This window comes from Homo sapiens, chromosome 1 (assembly GCF_000001405.40).
Source record: "Homo sapiens chromosome 1, GRCh38.p14 Primary Assembly".
Taxonomy (NCBI): Eukaryota; Metazoa; Chordata; class Mammalia; order Primates; family Hominidae; genus Homo; species Homo sapiens.
The window spans coordinates 6,970,516-6,989,252 of NC_000001.11; the positions used below are offsets into that span (position 1 = coordinate 6,970,516).

The following is an 18,737-nucleotide window of genomic DNA, read 5'->3' on the forward strand; positions in this document are numbered from 1 at the left end:
CACTCCAAGGGCCTGGCAAAGGATGTGGCGACAGGACCCAGGGACTCCACCTGAGGCCTGAAGGATACCGTGAGTCTGAAGACTCCACAGAACTGATGTTGGGATGGGAGAGACAAGCAGGCAATAGTTAGGAATGTGATCGATGTGCATATCAGAAGCACAGGGGGCTACTAGAGCACCTGTTCAGGACGTATCATCCAGTCCTGGTGGGTCAGGACATTCTACTATAGCAAGTGCTATCTCAGTGGAGATCTGAAGATAACCTGGCAAAAGGAGACAGATGGAGAACAGAACAGACCCAACAACCTCAGGAGAATGAACAGCCAGGTGTTCCCTGAGGCCAGTGGTAGTGTCTGCATGGACCGTTGCTGGCTGTGGTCCTCTGCAGGGACCACTGCTGTGTCTGTTTCCAGCCTCTCCTTTCCTAAACCAGGCCGGCCCTGTCAGCCTGGCTCCAAACTTCACTCCCTGGCCTTTGGAGGGAAGACCCTCTGGTTCGGGCCTTCCTTCCTTCTCAGGGCTTTGGAAGCCCCTCTTCTTTCCAAAGGGGCTTGGCTTTCTGTCACCCAGCAGCCAGCTCCATTGTGGTCCTAGGAGTGTCAGTGAGCACAAAGCAGACACAGAAGAAACCTTGAAGTAATTAACAGAGTGAGCATGAGACGTTCCTGCTGGAGAAGAGCACACGATGGGCCTCGCTCCTCATGCTCCCCACTCCTGATGAGTAATTACACGTGGCTGTCTGGGAGTGGGAGTATTTATAGCAACGCCTCTTTTGCTGGAGTGTTGAACTTTCTTCTTTGTGGCAGCACGCTTATAAAAAGGTAATCAAATAGCAGACGATCGGATTGTATCCGTGTCATTCTGCTGCCACTTTAATGAGGACTGAGAATAAATAGAAATCCTGAAATTGTGCTATCCCAAACTGTTTGCAAGCCCCTCAGTGGGGGAGTCCGGTTTGATTTGGTTTTGTTTTTACCACCCCCACCCTCACTACTAATTTTACGTTGTCTTTGGAGTTGCTCAGGGGCCAAAGTGCCTTCTGGGTAAGTCTCTAACCGAAAACTAGATCCACAGGCAGGCCTTTTATTAAAAGGCATTTAATGACTCTGAATTCCTTGTTGTGTTAGAGCTGATTTGGGGCAGGATAATGGTGTCTGTGGCTGGGATAAAAACCCCCATGACCATCCTCCATGCTTATTAGGTAAGTGATTGGTGTGGATTCCTGCTCTCCGAAGGAAAAAGGAAAGAGAAGAAAAGGCCAGGCCTGCCTGTGGCCGCCCCCGGGTCTCAGCAATGGCATTATCACTGCTAACCCAGGTGTGACTTGGCTCCGCTGCCATTGGCGTCAGCAAGGCCCGTCAGCCTCCCCAAAAAGCCAGAGCTGGCCTGGAGAGAGGAGAGGAGAGCATCGCGGGCAGGTGCTGAGGGTTGGCCTTGTGTTCTGGACAGGCCGTGAGCAGGAGACTGATCGTCTTGATGAGGTGTGCAGGGCAGGACTTTGTAATTTGACATTGTTGGAGAAGGAGGGGCGGGGGTAGAGTGAAGGCCCCAGAAGGAGAACTGGGTCAGAAGTGTCCTTTGCTTCTCATTTTCCTCCCAACAAGGGGCTTCCCTGTTGGGAAGGTTTGCTAAGGCAGGGGGGTTATTGTGCAGAGAAGGGGGTGACTGCCCTGTCACCCCAGTGGTGAGGGAACTTGGCTTTATGACATCTAAGATTGTGAGCCTATGTAAATTGCAGGGAAGAGTAACAAGTAACTGAAAGTCCCGTGTGTGCTCCTAGTGACACACCTGGCCGGTTGCCTTTAATAAAGGCAGAAAAACCTCCGTTAAGACATTTACTCATGCCTTTGAGTAAATTAATATTGATTTGACATTCGACAACTGTTTGAATTTTTACTTCTTTTTTTTGCATCTGGAGAAAGGATCTGTGTTTAGTAAGCACTTCTGTGTGCTGATTTCTGCAATTAGCCTTTATTCATCCCTTGCCTGCCGTGTGCCAGGCTGCTCTTTCCCAGCATCAGGGTGCTGACCAGGCAACACGGTCCCTGCCCTCGGTGAGCTTATGTTCCAGGAGAATGGTGTTGAGGCAAAGAGGGAAGTCCTATCTGGCTGTCTTAGGGGCTGGCAGTTGGCCAGGGAAGTGCTGATTAGAGGGGCCAAAGCCTGAATTCTGCCTGTGCTTCCTGGCTGAGTGTGGAGTCAGTGTAGACGTCTTTCTGTCTCCAAACACAGCCTGAACCTAATTGTTTCTTTTACTATTATTATTGTTTTGGTAAGAATGCTAAACGTGAACTCCATCCTCTTAACAGATTTTTCCTTTCCTTTTCCTTTTCCTTTTCCCTTTCCCTTTTTTGAGACGGAGTGTTGCTCTGTTTGCCCAGGCTGGAGTGCAGCGGTGTGATCTTGGCTCACGGTAACCCCCGCCTCCCAGGTTCAAGTGATTCTCCTGCCTCAGCCTCCCAAGTAGCTGGGATTACAGGCACCCACCACCATGCCTGGCTAATTTTTGTATTTTTAGTAGAGATGGGGTTTTGTCACGTTGGCCAGGCTGGTCTTGAACTCCTGACCTCAGGTGATCCATCCACCTCGGCCTCCCAAAGTGCTGGGATTACAGGCATGAGCCACCACGCCTAGCCGTCTGAACAGATTTTTAAGTGTACAACATGTGTTGCTATCTTTAGGCATGATGCTGTGTGGCAGATCTCCAGGACGAACTCATCTTGCATGACTGAAATTTTATACATGTTGAACATCAACTCCCTATTTCCTCCCCCATCTAGCTCCTGACAACCACCACTGCAGTCATTGCTTCTAGGGGTTTGACCATTTTTGATACCTCACATAAGGAGAATCATGCAGCATTTGTCCTTCTGTGACTGGATTCTTTCACATAGCATAGTGTCCTCTGGGCTCATCCATGTTGTCACATGCTGCAAGATCTCCTTCTTTTTGAAGGCTGAATAATATTCTACCATGTGTATATCCCACGCTCCCTTTATGCACGCATCTGTTGGTGGACATTTAGGTGGTTTCCACGTTTGGGCTTTTGTGAATAGTGCTGCAGTGGGCACGGGAGTGCTAATATCTCTTTGAGATTCAGATATGACTTGTTTTGGATAAATACTCAGAAGTGGGATTGCTGGATCATATCCTAATTTATCTTGACAGTGGCCACGATTCTGAACCTCTTTGGTTTTGTCATCTGCTGGGTGACACCGACCTTGTAAAGACTCAGCCCTCACCTGGACCGTGGCATTCTTGGTCCCATGGCTGTTCATGTGGCCCTGAGAGCGAATGAAAGTATCGCCTCATCTCCCTTCTACAGTGGCTGGCGGGAGGTGGAAGCTAGTGCTGCCTCCTGCCCCACCTTCCCACAGCCGGGGAAGGGGCTTTCACGTTTCTGAATCTCAGCGCCAAAAGGAACTTCCTCTGTCAGGACCCACTTTTGTGGAAGCCTGTGTGAAATGTGATCCTCAAATCCAGCTTGAAGCTGCGGTTGAATTTTTGTGGGGTTCTCATTATTTAACGTTTGGCCCAGAATGGCATTTGTCTGAAGACAGACAGACAGGCTGGAGCTTACTGGGGGCCCACACAGTGTGTGGAGCTCGGTCTGGGCTGCTCTGGTTTGTAATATATTGTTCTCAGTGCCAGGAGCTGCAGCAGCATCTCCAGTGAGGAACAAGGAGAGGGAGGAACCTGGGAGCAGGAGGGGAAACCCGGAGTCGGAGAATCCAATTTTTCATACAGTAACAAAACAATACAGTTGTGTATTCCCATAATATCCCTTCAGTTTCTTGGGGTCTAGGCTTGCATCTATTTTTAAAAACACTTGGACCAATAATTCTGCTTTATGCAGACCAACTGGAGGGTCTCTAGCTTGGAGATTTAATGTAAAATAAACTCTAAATGGGGTGGCACACAGCATGGTGGCCTGCAACTGTAGACAAGCAATTTTTCTTAAACAAGCTGAGGGATTGAAGTAAATGATGGTGGTGTTCAGTTCTGTCCCAGAGTTGGGAGTGAGGCGAGGCCAGGGAGATGGAAGGTCCAGGCTTATCCAACCTCCTGTGCGCTCCCTGTGAATGTTGGTCGGGCAGGGAGGCTGCTCGGAGGGAGTCTTTGAGGAAGCCGACTCCTCTTACCTGCCGCACGGACGTCCTGGAAGACAGTCTGTGCATCCAGACTGGGGTTTCCTAGCACTTTGGAACTGGGCTCAGAAGGCTTCAGTTTGGCAAAGACGCATTGCATTTTGCAGGTTCCTTTGATCACGGCCCAGGTGGGGCCACATCCCCTTAGAATACTTTTCTCTGTCTTCTTCCCTTGGGCTTAGACGGCCTTTTGCCATCTAATAATAAAAAAAATTTATCTGACAAATATCAAGTATTTGTTGGAATAAACATAAGGCTTGCTATCTTCCTTGGACAAGGGGAAAATAACTCTCCTTCACTTCTGACGAGTTTACAAGATACAAGTTAATTTTTGGACAGATTATCCTGCCAACTTAAATTATCAATAAATCACCCTGCCACCCATGGTCCTTCTCGTGAAGGAGGCGCCATCTCTGTTTTCTGGGGGAGGATGCTGCAGGGCTGAGATGACGGGGCCTGCCTCGAGTCACACCAGAGCTGGAAGGTGGCAGAGCTGGAAGCCGAGCATTCCACACTGTCTCCCCCCACCACCATCAGTGTGAGCCTTGGGGAAAAATAGGGACGTTCAGCATGTTGTCCCTGCTCTTGCGGGGCTCAGGATCTTTGTAAGAGGAACAGGAGTAAACCCTGAAAATTTCGGTAAAAATTAAGAAGCAGCGGAGTGGCATGGTTAGCGTCACTGCATGCAAATTGTCCTGTGGCTTGCTGCTTTGTTTGTTGTTATTGTTTGTTTTTCATCAGACTGTGGGCTCTTGGGGATGCTCCTCTGTGCGCTGTTTGCTGTGGAATTCCCAGGAGGGACGGTCATCGTTTGTTGACTGCAAGAATGAACGAATGCTACGAGAGTCTGGGGAGCTGGGCCTTGAAGGATGGGCATTTGTTGGGCAGGCTGAATGCAATGACAGTTGTTCAAGCTGATGGGGAGCGTGGCAGGAGAGGAGGAGGTGGAGCCTGCTTGGAGCATAATAACGGCTTCATTGAGACAGAATTGTAGGCTTTAGATGGGTACAATTCACTCATGTAAAGCCTACAATTCAGTGGTTTTAGTATACTCACAGAGTTGTGCAGCCACACTACAACCAATTTTAAAACATTTTAATCGCCCCAAAAGGAAGCCTTGTACTCCTCAGCTATCACCCCCAAGCCCCCAACTTCCTCCCAGCCCTTGGCAACCACCAATCTGCTTTCTATCTCTATGGATCTGCCTATTCTAGACATTTCATGTAAACAGGATAGTGCAGTATGTGGCCTTTGGTAACCGCCTTCTTTCACTCAGTGTCATGATCTGTTCTTCCCTGCCGCGGCGAGCGTCAGTACTCCCTTCCTTTCCGCTGCTGAGTGACACTCTGCGATGTGGACAGAGACCAGAGCATCTTGAATGCTCACTCGAGCCAGGCACCAGGATGCCTAAAGCAAAGCTGTTGGAGTCAGACTTTGACCTAATTGAGTTGGGGTTCCAGGAAGATCAATCTGATCATGGGACAAAACGAAACAGTCAGTGCCTGGAGGCAGAGGCCCCGCTGAGTCTTTCTTGGGCTTCTTGGAAGAAGGCCACAAAGGTCAGGACGAGGAACAGCCGGAGAAGTGTGACTGCATGCATGTCAAGGAGAACTCATCAGCAGGACCTCCTGCTGTGTGTGTGTGAGATGGGGCAGGGAGACGGATCTGGCACTTCTGGCCTGGAAAACTGGGCCTGGGGTGAGGATTGTGTGGTGGCTGATGGGAAGGGGAGAAATAGGCGTTTCCACCTGTGCCTTGCCTTTCAGAGTGTTGGCAGGCACAGAGTTCAGTTGGCTGCTGGACTGTGCAAGGGGGACGTGGGAGACAAGGGATCCCACAGAATCCATCTTTATGGAATCTACCTTTCAGAGAGAGCAGATCCACGTGAAAGCCAGGCTCTCGGGAGCAGTAGAGCATCTGTGATGGACCCTAGGTGAGTGGCTTGCCCAGGAGGAAAGGACATGGGCCAGGATGATCCAGGAGGGCTTTCTGAGAGGGAGGAGCCAAGCTCTCCGTGAAGGATGGATGTGCCGAGCATCAGCAGAGGAGGGAAGAGAATATTCCAGACATGTCAGGCAAATAGCAAGCACAGGGTGATATGGTTTCGCTGTGTCCCCACCCAAATCTCATCTTGAATTGTAACTCCCATAATTCCCACTTGTTGTGGGAGGGACTCAGTGGGAGGTAATAGAACCATGGGGACGGGTCTTTCCCATGCTGTTCTCGTGATAGTGAATAAGTCTCACAAAATCTGATGGTTTTATAAAGGGCAGTTCCCCTGCACATGATTTCTTGCCTGCTGCCATGTAAGACATGCCTTCTCTTCTCCTTTGCCTTTCACCATGATTGTGAGGCCTCCCTAGCCATGTGGAACTGTGAGTCCCTTAAACCTCTTTCCTTTATAAATTATCCAGTCTCGGGTCTGTCTTTATTAGCAGCGTCAGAACAGACTAATACACAGGGGCACTGGATGGGGGAGAAGGTCGTGTGGGTCGGGTCCTGCTGTTGGAAGTTGCAACCTGCGGAGGACATCGGAGAATAAGCTGGGCAGGCTGGGTGCCATCAACAGATGCCGATGCCCAGCACAACAGTAACTACAGCTCTTGCCGCATACTTCTGTTCACTCGGTGCCAGTGGGGTTATGTTGGAGCCAAGTACTGGGCAAAGCTTTTTTTTTTTTTTAATTTGAGAAGGAGTCTTGCTCTGTTGCTCTGTCACCCAGGCTGGAGTGCAGTGGCGCAGTCTCGGCTCACTGCAACCTCCACCTCCCAGGTTCAAGAAATTCTCCAGCCTCAGCCTCCCGAGTAGCTGGGACTACACGTGCGTGCCACCACACCTGGCTAATTTTTTGTATTTTTAGTACAGACGAGGTTTCACCATGTCAGCCAGGATGGTATCGATTTCCTGACCTTGGGATCCACTCGCCTCGGCCTCCCAAAGTGCTGGGATTACAGGCGTGAGCCACTGCGCCCAGCCTGGACTAAGCTTTTTTAAGCATATCATGTCATTTACTCTTCACAGCAGCCCACTGGGTAGATTGGGTGATTATTACAGCTTTAGAGGTATGGAAACCAAGGTTTAGAGAGATTGAGTGCTTAGCCTAAGTCACGTATCTAAAAAGTGCTGAACCTGGGTTTTAAAAAATTTTCCTTTGAGTGTAAACAAGCCAGTAGTATGTGGTATTTATACACAACAGAGTACCATTCAGCCATAAAAAAGAGTGAGATCCTGTTATTTGCAACAGCATGAATGGAACTGGAGGTCATTATGTTAAGTGAAATAAACCAGACACAGAAAGACAGTCTTCACATGTTCTCACTTCTTTGTGGGATCTAACAATCAAAACAGTTAAACACGTGGAGGTAGAGGGTAGAAGGATGGTTACCAGAGGCCAGGAAGGGTAGTGGGGGTGTGGTGGTGGTCAGGGCGCTGGAGATTGGCTAATGGGTTAAAAAAAATAGTTATAATAGAATGAATAAGACCCTAGTATTCGATAGCATAACAGGGTGGCTAGAGTCAATAATAACTTAATTGTACATTTGAAAATAACAAAAAAAGTATAATTCGATTGTTTTAACACAAAAGATAAATGCTTGAGGGGATGGATTCCTCATTCTCCGTGATGTGATTATTATGCACTGCATGGCTGTATCAAAACATCTTATGTACCCCATAAATGTATACACCAGGCCAGGCACGGTGGCTCACGCCTGTTATCCCAGCACTTTGGGAGGTTGAGGTGGGTGGATCACCCGAGGGCAGGAGTTTGAGACCAGCCTGGCCAACCTGGTGAAACTCTGTCTCTATTAAAAATGCAAAAATTAGCTGGGCGTGGTGGCAGGTGCCTATAATCCCAGCTACTCGAGAGGCTGAGGCAGGAGAGTCACTTGAACCCAGGAGTCGGAGGTTGCAGTGAGCTGAGATTGCGCCACTGCACTCCAGCCTGGGCAACAGAGCGAGACTCCATCTAAAAAAAATACATATATATAGTTAATATTATATTTTTATATTTTATATATTATAGATATATATATATCTACAATGCACCTGCAAAAATTAAAAATTAAAGTCAGTAATAATGACCGCATGTTTTAGACAGGATGGATGTATTCTATTGGTGAGTCTAGGAAGCATCTAGAGATGACATTTCAACTCAACAAACATTAATTGCTCGGTGTTTGGGATACAGAGCTGAGCAGGACACCCTGGACCTGGAGGTACTGGATGAGCATAGAAGAGACAACCATCCCTGTCTGTCTCCACACCCGTCAGTAAATGCTTGTGTGGTGGATGCATCGTGAACAGGCAGGTATTAGCCTGGGGAGCTCGCTCTCCCTTGCACCTGGCTGAGTGGGCATCTGAACAAAGACACAGAGGAGACAGGCTGAGGTGAGGTTCAGTACCCCTTAGTGAGTTGTTGGTGTGGCTGGAGGAGGGAGTGCGGAGGACAGCAGGGGAAGGAAAACGAGAGGGAAGCTAGGATGTGGCTGAAAGACATTGGGGAGAGCTGGAGGGGTGGACCAGGCCTGGCAGGGCAGCCCCATCCCTGCCCCCTTGGAGGAAGTTTCCTGAACTCTCCCAGCTCCTGCACAGGGTCTCCGGCACAGGGGGGCTTCCTAGGTGCTGCTCCCTCTCCCACTCTGCAGGCAGCTGCCGCCTCCTCCAACTCCTGGGCCTATTTTGCCCAGTCAGGGCCATTCAATTCTGCATCAAGGTGCTAAATGGGTCTCCAGCAGCTCCAGAGAAAGATCCATTTAAACCGTGTGCATATGGGGAGGAGTCTCTGGGAAGAGCAGCCCTTGTTGGATTCCTGCATTTTGCAGCCTTCTGGAACTGAGCAGCTTTTAGAATTTCAAGCCACAATTTGTATTCAAATGAAGGTCATTTGAAAGGTGTAACATAGTAAACAGCCATTATTTCATTTTGATGGTGGCACTAAAATTATAGTGTTGGTTGAATTATTTTAGTGTAGGACCATTACCATCTCCCTAAAACACTTAGAGGCGTTCTTAGAACGCTGCTACCATCCTAAAATTAGAAGAAAACTAAAAATCATGAAGCTGAGCTGGTGGTGGTGTAGCTGGGGGAGAGGACCCCCAGTGCTTGGGACACTGTCGCCTCATGGTGGCGTAGCTGGGGGAGAGGACCCCCGGCACCCGGGACACTGTCCTCTCATGGTGGTGTAGCTGGGGGAGAGGACCCCCGGCGTGTGCAACACTGTCCCCTCATCTAGCTTTCCTGGCTCTCCACAGCTGTTTGAGGGCTCAGCCCACTATGTGCGCATGAAGACGGGGGAGTCTCAGTGCTGTGAATTGTGGGACATAGAAAAACGCACCCCCATCCCACCTGTTCCTCTGTTATTCAAGTCCTTAAAATCTCACTATTGAGACCTTACCCCCATGAGCTTTTCTTTCAGAGAGAAGCACCCTTGGAGGGCGTGCCTCTTACTGACAGCCCCTCCAGGAGCACTTACTGGAGAAGCTGTGAGTCCTTTGCTCACCTGCAGCTGTGCTGAAGTCTCGCCTGTTGGGGGCCTACAAGTCGGGGTGGAGTCGAGGGCAGGTGCTGTCTTGCCTGATGGGCCCTTACCATTCTGCTACCATTGGACATCCAGAATCCTCTGTCTCCCTCCTTAGGCCCGGGGCTCCTCTCTCTGGCCAGCCAAGGATGGAAGTGGCTGGTATTAGGTGGGCTGGAGGGGTGGGATCCCCTTTAGGGACTCTGCACTGCATTGAAGTAGCACCGGGAGTCACGAGCCCGTGGAGTGACAGACCCAGAGAGACTTACAGATCTTCATTCTTCATGGGGCAGATCTGGAAATTGAGGCCCTAGAGGGACGTGACTTCTGTTAGGTTATACAGTGATTTGGTTTGTCTGTGTCCCCACCCAAATCTCATCTTGAATTGTAGCTCCCATAATTCCCATGTGTCTTGGGAGGGACTTGGTAGGAGGTAATCAAGTCATGGCAGGGGTGGGTCTTTCCTGTGCTCTTCTCATGATAGTGACTAAGTCTCAGGAGATCTAATGGTTTTGAAAAGGGGAGTTCCCCTGCACACACACTCCTTTGCTTGCCACCATGCGAGATGTGACTTTGCTTCTCCTTTGCCTTCCGCCATGATCATGAGGCCTCCCCAGCCATGTGGAACTGTGAGTCCATTAAACCTCTTTTCTTTATAAATTACTCAGTCTTGGGTATGTCTTTATTAGCAGTGTGAGAACAGACTAATACACACAGCAAGTCACAGAGGATACGAGATTGAGCCTAGAGCCTTGGGCTTCCTTTGCTGTCACTGGGTGTGTGGTTCCCTCATCGGAAACCCTTGGAGTCAGTTCTGTTACAGAATTCAGAACTCTCTGGATTCCAGAGGAGTAACTGAGGGTACGTGCTGGCACAGTCTCGGTGGCTCTGAGAACAGCCCCCAATGAGCAAACGCACTGATATTTCTGCAGTAAGACGTAAATACACCAAGTGGGACCAATAAGGGCAATAGATGATGTCAGTTCAGATTAAATGTGGCCACTAAAAGGTGCCAAGTTGAAGAAAAAGACATTGGATTCCTGGAACTTTTAGGATTTCAGAATTTCCAATAAAGGATGTGGCCATTTCTAATAGTAGCACGTGCTCCTTGAAGAAAAGCTGAAAAATTCAAAAAGTACTTTAGAAGATGGTAATTGCCCCACATTTAATCAATTTACAGATTTTTACTTATGTATTTTTACATAGCAGAATTTCTTACTCTGTACAATTTTGCACTCTAATTCTCATTATTATTTTATTTATTTTTTTGAGGCAGGGTCTCACTCTGAAACCCAGGCCGGAGTGCAGTAGTGTGATCATGGCTCACCGCAGCCTTAACCTCCTGGGCTCAAGTGATCCTCCCATCTCAGCCTTCTGAGTAGCTGGGACCATAGGCATGCACCACTACACATGGCTAATTTTTAATTTTTTTGTGGAGACAAGTTCTCCCTATTATGTTGCCTAGGGTGGTCTTAAACTCCTGGATTCAAGTGATCCTCCTACCTCAGCTTCCCAAAGTGCTGGAATTACAGGCATGAGCCACCATGCCTGGCCTATTATTATTTCTGAGACAGAATCTTGCTCTGTTGCCAGGCTGGAGTGCAGTGGTGCAATCACAGCTTGCTGCAGTGCTGACTCCTGGGCTCAAGTGATCTTTGTGCCTCAGCCTTCCAAGTAGCTAGGATAACAGGTGCACACCACCATGCCCCACTAATTTTTAAATTGTTTTGTAGAGGCAGAGTCTTGCTATGTTGCCCAGGCCTCTCTTAAACTCCTGGGCTCCAGTGATCCTCCTGCCTCAGCCTCCCAAAGTGCTGGGATTACAGGCATAATGTATTTTTTTGACATTTAATACATGATGTATTTTTAATTGCATTAGATAATAAATGTTTTTCTATGTTTTTAAAGAAACATTTGGATGGCTGCACAGTGTTAGGAAGCGGGCCTTCTTGACTCTCAGCCTGGTGCTTTTCTCCCTAGAGCACATGCTGCTTCTCCAGCTAGTTACACTGTAAACCCACAGAGCACTCCCTGAGTGTTCTCTGGTAGGTGCGCCGATGGCCAGTGTCTGGGAGATCCCCTAGGAGTCATCCCAGAAGCCTCCTAGAGCAGCAATGGGGAGAACAGTCTTTAGGGCTGGAGATGATGGACAGAGCTCCCAAGCTGTGCCCAGGAAGTGACATTTCCCTCTCCCATGCTGGCCACAGGCAATTGGGAATCCCATCAACTTGGAAATGAGGGCAGATCCTGGAGAGGCACCTCTCATTGCCTGTGACATGGAGAGCGGGAGGAGGGGCCAGAGTGGGGGCCTTCAGCAGGCTCCTTATGGGGGTGGGTGGCACAGCCCTTGGAACAAGTGTTTCCTGCCTGAATTTCACCCTCGGGAGGCCCTTAGCTACTTCTTAAGTGTCCCAAGTACTTGTCTCATGATCTAGCGCCCTTCCCCAAAGTCACAGGCAGCATGGCCCCGGGTTCTGGCTCCCTGTCCCCACGCAGTTGGCAGAGCATGGCTTTAAGCTCCTCAGTGCTGCCTAGGACCCCCTCCTGGCTGCCTCCCCCTTCACTCCACAGGGATCCTCGCTCAGCCCTCTGTGCGTAGTGGCTCTGGTTGAAGGTGCTGGCCGTAGAGGGGTGGGGAGGGGTGGGGAGCAGGAGCGATCCTGCCTCAGTGGCCCAAACTCATAGGGCTTGGTGGGGACCAGGCCAATGCAGGACAATTGGGCCTGGTTTGTGGGCCTCCTTGTCACTCTCCCATGAAGGAGTGAGTAGGGTGGAGGGAGGATTATTGGGCTAGGAGACTCTGGAGTCCTTTCTGGAGCGGGGAGCCTCTGAGGCTGACCCATGTAAACTTACCTTGATGATTCATCCTCCAAAACTCTGGGGATTGGGAACAGTCACCAGGACTTACAGAACATTCCAGATTGTGGCTCCTGTGTGCTGTCTTTATCCTGTGTTACTCTCCCCTCAGGCAGATTGTCCAAATGTAAATTCCAGAAAGAATCTAAGAGTATGTGCGGGGAACCTTACATTCCTGGAAACTCATTCTATCTTGGTGCCATGGTCTTAGAAAATATATTCATTTTCAGAAAGAGCTAGTGTCTATGTCCTGTGGAGCCCCCTCTACTTCTACCTGCCTTCCCTCCACTACGTTCCAGCTATACTGGCTGCCTTTCAGCTCCAGACGCTCCAACAGTCAGGGCTGTGGCACCTACTCTCCCTCTTCTTCCCCTTCCTCATCACTCTTACTAAGTCTCAGTTTAAATCTCAACCCCCTAAACCTACAGGCACCCCTGTCATAATCTGTTGTCATACTATATGCTTTTCCTTTGTAATACTTATCACAATTTGTCTTTATATATTCATGTTAATTTCTTTTGTATTATTTCATATTTATCTTCTTCACAAAGCTTCATGGAGGCAAGTTCTATAACTAATTTGTTTACTTCAGTAGCCCAGTAGCTGGTACAGAGCAGGCACTCAATAATTGGATCTATTATTTGATGGAAGGATGGATGAATGGGTGAGTGGATGGTTGAATGTATGGGTAGGGGGATGGGTGGGTGGATAGAGGGTTGGGTGGGTAGATGGATGGTTGGATGGATAGGTGGATAGATGGTTGATGGATGGATGGATAGATTAATGCATACATAGGTGGATGAATGGGTGGGTGATAGATGAATGGGTGGGTGGATAGAGGCTTGGATAGATGAATGGGTGGATTGATGATTGGGTGGGTGGGTAAATGGGTGGATGGGTGGGTGGATCGAGGGTTGGGGGTGGATAAATGGTTGGGTGGATGAGTGGATAGATGGATGGATGGATGGAGGGATGGGTGGTTGGGCAGATGGATGGATTAATGAATGGATAGATGGATAAATGGGTGGGTGGATGGGTGGATAGATGGATGGGTGGGTGGGTGAATAGATGGGTTGGTAGATGAGTGGATAGAAGGTAGATGGGTTGGTAGATGAGTGGATAGAAGGTAGATGGGTTGGTAGGTGAGTGGATAGAGGGATGGGTGGGTTGATGGGTGGGTGGAAGGCTGGGTGGGCGGATGGCAACATCAAGTACTTTGGGAGGCCGGGGACTTCTGCATTGTAAAAGTGCATAAAGGGGTTTCTTTCTTTTCATGGAGAAAATTTCTATTCTGAAAATGGCAGCACATTGCCTGTTGCAAAGCCAACACTTTGGGAGGCTGAGGTGGGCAGATCACTTGGGGTTAGGAGTTTGAGACCAGCCTGGCCAACATGATGAACCCCGTCTCTAACAGAAATACAAAAATTAGCCAGGTGTGGGGTGGTGCGGGGCTGAAATCCCAGCTAGTCAGGAGGCTAAGACAGGGGAATCACTTGAACCTGGGAGGCGGAGGTTGCAGTGAGCCGAGATGGCGCCACTGCACCCTGCCTGGGTAACACAGTGAGACTCCATCTTAAAAAAGAAAATACTCACAAAAAACAACAAAGAAATGTCTCCTGGGTGAGTAGGCTTCAGGCAGGACCTGGGCCAGTGGCCGGATGGCCATTGACTCTCTCTGCACGTTTTCCCTCTCTGTACATCTGCATCGTCTTTCCTCAGCTGCCGATGGCTGGGTTCTGCTCCTCAGTCCATCTGCCAGACACCGAGTTCAGACGCGTCAGGTCAGCTACCTGAAGAGGCGACTTTCAGGGCCTCAAATCCAATGCCAAATTCCTGGGGACGACAGTCTGGAGTAATCTATTACCAGGGCGCTGGGGTCACACATTCGGACTGTGGGAGGACCCTGCTTCCCAGAGAAAGGGGTCGTTGTATCTGCCACACCAGTTTTACGTAGACTGCCTATGGGTCTGACTTCCAGTTTTGGCTGAAGTTCTCACATCCCGTTTGATGACTGCCTGGCCAGATGCCTGTTAGGTCCCAGGCCTGGAAGCCCACACCGATTACAAGGCTGTCCCCTAAGCTACAAGCCCGGGAAACCTGCCCATTTGGAGCTGTGAGTGTAGGGGGCGTGGGGCTGACTTGCAGAGCCAGGCCAGGCTGGCTGTAGGAAGAGAACTGCAGCTGTAGCTACGGGGGCCCCTCAGTAAAGGCGTCCTGGGTTTGCCCAAGAGAGCTGCTCCCTGGGCCTGTCAGATGCCCACTGTGAATGGGAGGAGCTGGCATCTGAGTCTGACAGATGATCTCTGCTCCTCTCCACAGCCTGGCTTTGCAAGAGGCAATGTGCTGCCATTTTCAGAATAGAAATTTTCTCCACGAAAAGAAGAAACCCCTTTATGCACTTTTACAATGCAGAATCTAATTTAGGTTTCAATAAGGGAAGGAACCATTATATCACCCTACTTCAGTGCTTTTTGTCATTACGTTATATTTTTTAAAATACTTTCATCGGGGACCCGATATACACTTACAATCTCTCTGCATTTATTTTCTTTTAAGAACACATATAATAAAACTCAAAGTTAATAGCACGAAAATAATTTCTACAATAACAGTTGTAGCAAATCTTCGAATTGCCAGGGTGAAGGTGGCTAGACAGAGTGAGGCAATTACGTCTATTATTAGCAGTGCACGGGGAGGATTGATGTACAGTGGGCTGTGTGTGAGCAGAAGCCTTCAGACGTGAACTACATTTTAATAGTGAAATTCTCATAGATTATAACTTCCTTCATTAACATTTTCACACATCGCTGACTAACAAATGAGGAGAGAGGCCTTCTGCACTCATAGATTTATTATGCTTGGGATGCTCTCTGCACCTCTGTGTATGGGCAGGAGCTTCGTCTTCTAACCTCTGACTACCGGCGATTAACTCTTTCCGGCCCTACCTGTTTCCTTCAGGCACGGAAGAACATTCTGGAAATACTGGCTTTGCACTTTAAGACTTTTACAAGGTGGTTCCTCGGGACAGCCCCCACTGGCTGCTCCCTGCCGTCTTTCTGTGCCTTTCCCCTGTTGCCCTGCAGGTGGGTATCAGAGGACGGAGGGTCTGGGGGAATGAGTCAGGCCAGATTTGGGCTCCATCCGTCTGCTGCCATGTCTCTCACCAGGAGAAGCAGAATCTGATCCCTGCTCAGGTACTTGAGTTGCTAAGTGGGGCGAGGCAGCTCTGAGCATCAAAGGATGGTTGTTTGACACAATTATTAGATCTCCTATTAGCAAGAGGAGTGAAGTGGTCTTCTGTCCCCTGCGAGGCAGGGGATACCACCCAAGATGTGACAGAGGGAGTTTTGGGGAGGGCTCACTGGGCAGAGAAGGGGAAGTGGGCTTTGCCGTCAGGATCCAGGTGAACTGACTTTCCAGGTGCAGAGCCTTGTCCTAGGAGAGGATGAACGATTTACAAAGGAGTCGGATGCCAGTGCCCGCCCTGGAGGGATTTGAGGTTAAGGTGGGAAAATCTTGAGGAAGGGACAGTGTTTTTAGGTGATTTGTCAACCATCGTCCATGGTTGTACCTGCACTGTGAGGCGAGTGCTGGGGCTTGCAGAGAAATGCCATCTTCTGGTCACCCCATTAACCCGGGGAGGCTTCCTGGAAAATTCTGTGAGTACTGGGGCTCCAAGATGGTGGTTCCTGGTGGTTGTCTGTACCTGGTACCAAGTGGGTTAGAAGGGTGCTGTGGACGTGAGTTAATGCAGGGAGCAAACCTCCCAGGTTTGGAGCTGGGCGTTGAGTTTCCAGCCCATCCTTCCTGATGACGCACTCCTGCTGGTTTCTTTTGGGGACACAAAGCCTTGGTGACTTAGGACCCAATATTCTACAAGTTTGCTCTTGGGCATATCTTGTGGTGTTTATTGGGCCCCCAATGGCATATGAGACCCCCTAGGGCCAGGTTCCCCAGCCCCTCCGCCCCCACTTCCCATGCTCATTTGTGTGTCTCTGAGTTAGGGTATTTTGGTAAACTCTTCAACAAGATTGAAATTGAACCCAGGGGTTTTCAGTCCTGTCTGCATATTGTCATCACTGGGTAACTTTTAAAAACTAATGCCAGGGCCCACCCTCAGAGACTGTTTTGTTTTTTTTTTTTGAGACAGAGTCTCACTCTGTCACCCAGGCTGGAGTGCAGTGGCGCAATCTTAGCTCACTGCAACCTCTGCCTCCCAGGTTCAAGCGATTCTTCTGCCTCAGCCTCCCAAGTAGCTGGGACTACAGGCATGTGCCACCATGCCCGGCTGATTATTTTGTATTTTTAGTAGAGACGGAGTTTCACCATGTTGGCCAGGCTGGTCTCGAACTCCTGACCTGAGGTGATCTGCCCGCCTTGGCCTCCCAAAGTGTTGGGATTACAGGCGTGAGCCATCACGCCCGGCCAAAGACTCTTTTAAATGGTCTGGGTGGGGCTCTGGCATTGCTATTATTTAAGAGCTCCCAAATGATTCTAGTGTCCAGTCCAGGTTGAGGACCACCAAAACCATTTGGCAGGTGATCTGGCCTTTAGGTGAATTAGCTGGAAGGAAGAAGTTCTGACCGGAACAAACAGTGAGGCTGTGGGCAGATGGGGATGCATTTATAAAACCCCTTACTTTTTCTTTCTGTCTTTTGCAACCTGTAGATACTCGTTGCTATTGGATGCAATGTGGGAGGCACAGGACTAAATCCTGTAGGTCGTTGAGGAAAGGGCCGCTTTGCTTTTGGTCCCGGGAATCCAGGTTCCCCTTCTTCCCCATCACTCCTTCCTTCCCCCTCCATCCCCAGCCTGTGCTGTGTGGTGCCCACCCCAGCCTCATGGTCCCCAGGTGGGCATCATCCGCAGCAAGAGCCGGCGTCTGTCATCTTTGATCTCCTCCTGTAACTCTGTAGGGCTTAGCCAGCTCTGCTTGACTCCAGCACCAGACCAGCAGCAGGAGCTGCTCTGCTTCCCATCCCTCTTCCCTGGGAACATTATCCCTTAAATAAAATCAATAGACCTGGGACATGCTTGGAATCTAGAAGCTAATCTTTCCTAAGTTCCGTTTTCGTGTCAGAGTTCTCCTAGTGGCCACCATTGGCTGTGCAGTGATGGGATGTGGGAATGAATCCATGGGGACCCCCAGTGCAGTCTGGGGAGGTGGTGCGGGTGCGCTGGGTGATTCTGCTGGGAGAAGGGCCGTGACGCTCCGAAAGCTGGTGCTGGGCTTCCTTCCACTGCACAGGGCTCCATCCTGCATCCCGGCACCCCACCAAGTGTTAGGGAGTGCGGGAGGCAGACCTAATGAAAACCCGGTTTCATTTTGCATAATCAGGCACTATTGAAACGAGCCTTTCAGTGCTGCTTGCTGCAAATTAACAATCTGACTTATATACAATAAAAACCCGAGTATTGTACAAAGTGATACTTCTTAGGTAGTGGATACACAGATGGAAATTCATTTAATGAACTACAAGTCCCTGAATGGATTCTAAACTTCTTGTAATTACCCTGGAAAGAACCCTAGTAGAAGCAGAAAAAAGCCTTTTGGATTCCCCCCCACCCCCTACCCCTGCGCCACGGCAGTTGGCTTTCTCCATCCTTCAGGTTGCTTTGTCGGAAATGAGCATCATTCTGTGAAGAGTACTTGGAGTCCCGTCCAACGGGTTGGGCCGCATGTGGATGAGCAAACCTCATTCCCCCTCTCCAGGTTCTGAAAACAGTGTGATTTGTAAAGGCTTTGGTGCTGAACCAAATGCATCTTAAATGGTATCGTAAAGAGTTTAACCCATCACCCCAGCATCAGCCAGTGAACAGTCTGGCTGGCTGCCCGAGGGACTGGGGAGACCTGCTCTTTGTAGCACTGGACTGACTGAGTCTAGACTGAGCCAATCCGAGGCAGAGACTCAACCCTGCTCCTGGTAGTTTTCTTTGAAAGATGGTGTCCCAATGGGGAGGCCTTCAGAAGAGTTCCACTAGGCCAGGAGTCACTTTCCCCTTTGATAAGGCAGGAGGGGCAGGGGACATGACAGGGCAGAAGTTCCTTGGGAAAACCAGAGCAGAGCCAGGTTCCAGCCCTCAGGTGAGCCATCTCCCACCTCCACCACCACAGCCTGATGCAGGAGCCATCTGGGACCTGCCTCTTCCAAGGAGACAGTTCCATGGAAGGGGGTTAGGGACGGATGTGGCATCCACAAGGAGTGCCACACTCG

The 18,737-nt window shown here is 49.6% G+C and overlaps 1 protein-coding gene across 25 annotated transcripts in view, besides 2 other annotated features; it reads left to right on the forward strand.

Moving 5' to 3' along the window:
• Positions 1–18,737, forward strand: part of CAMTA1 (calmodulin binding transcription activator 1) — a 984,253-nt gene that overhangs the window by 185,062 nt on the left and 780,454 nt on the right. The gene's annotated exons all lie outside the window — the stretch shown is intronic.
• Positions 1,885–2,085: a silencer, noted in NCBI's record as "peak33 fragment used in MPRA reporter construct". NCBI's record gives its function as "represses an SCP1 promoter by STARR-seq MPRAs in K562 erythroleukemia cells {active_cell/tissue: K562}" and the evidence as "EXISTENCE:reporter gene assay evidence [ECO:0000049][PMID:32103011]".
• Positions 8,990–9,835: an enhancer, noted in NCBI's record as "H3K27ac-H3K4me1 hESC enhancer chr1:7039565-7040410 (GRCh37/hg19 assembly coordinates)". NCBI's record gives its function as "activates a minimal SCP1, AML or CMV promoter by ChIP-STARR-seq in primed H9 embryonic stem cells {active_cell/tissue: H9 hESC(primed)}" and the evidence as "EXISTENCE:reporter gene assay evidence [ECO:0000049][PMID:30033119]".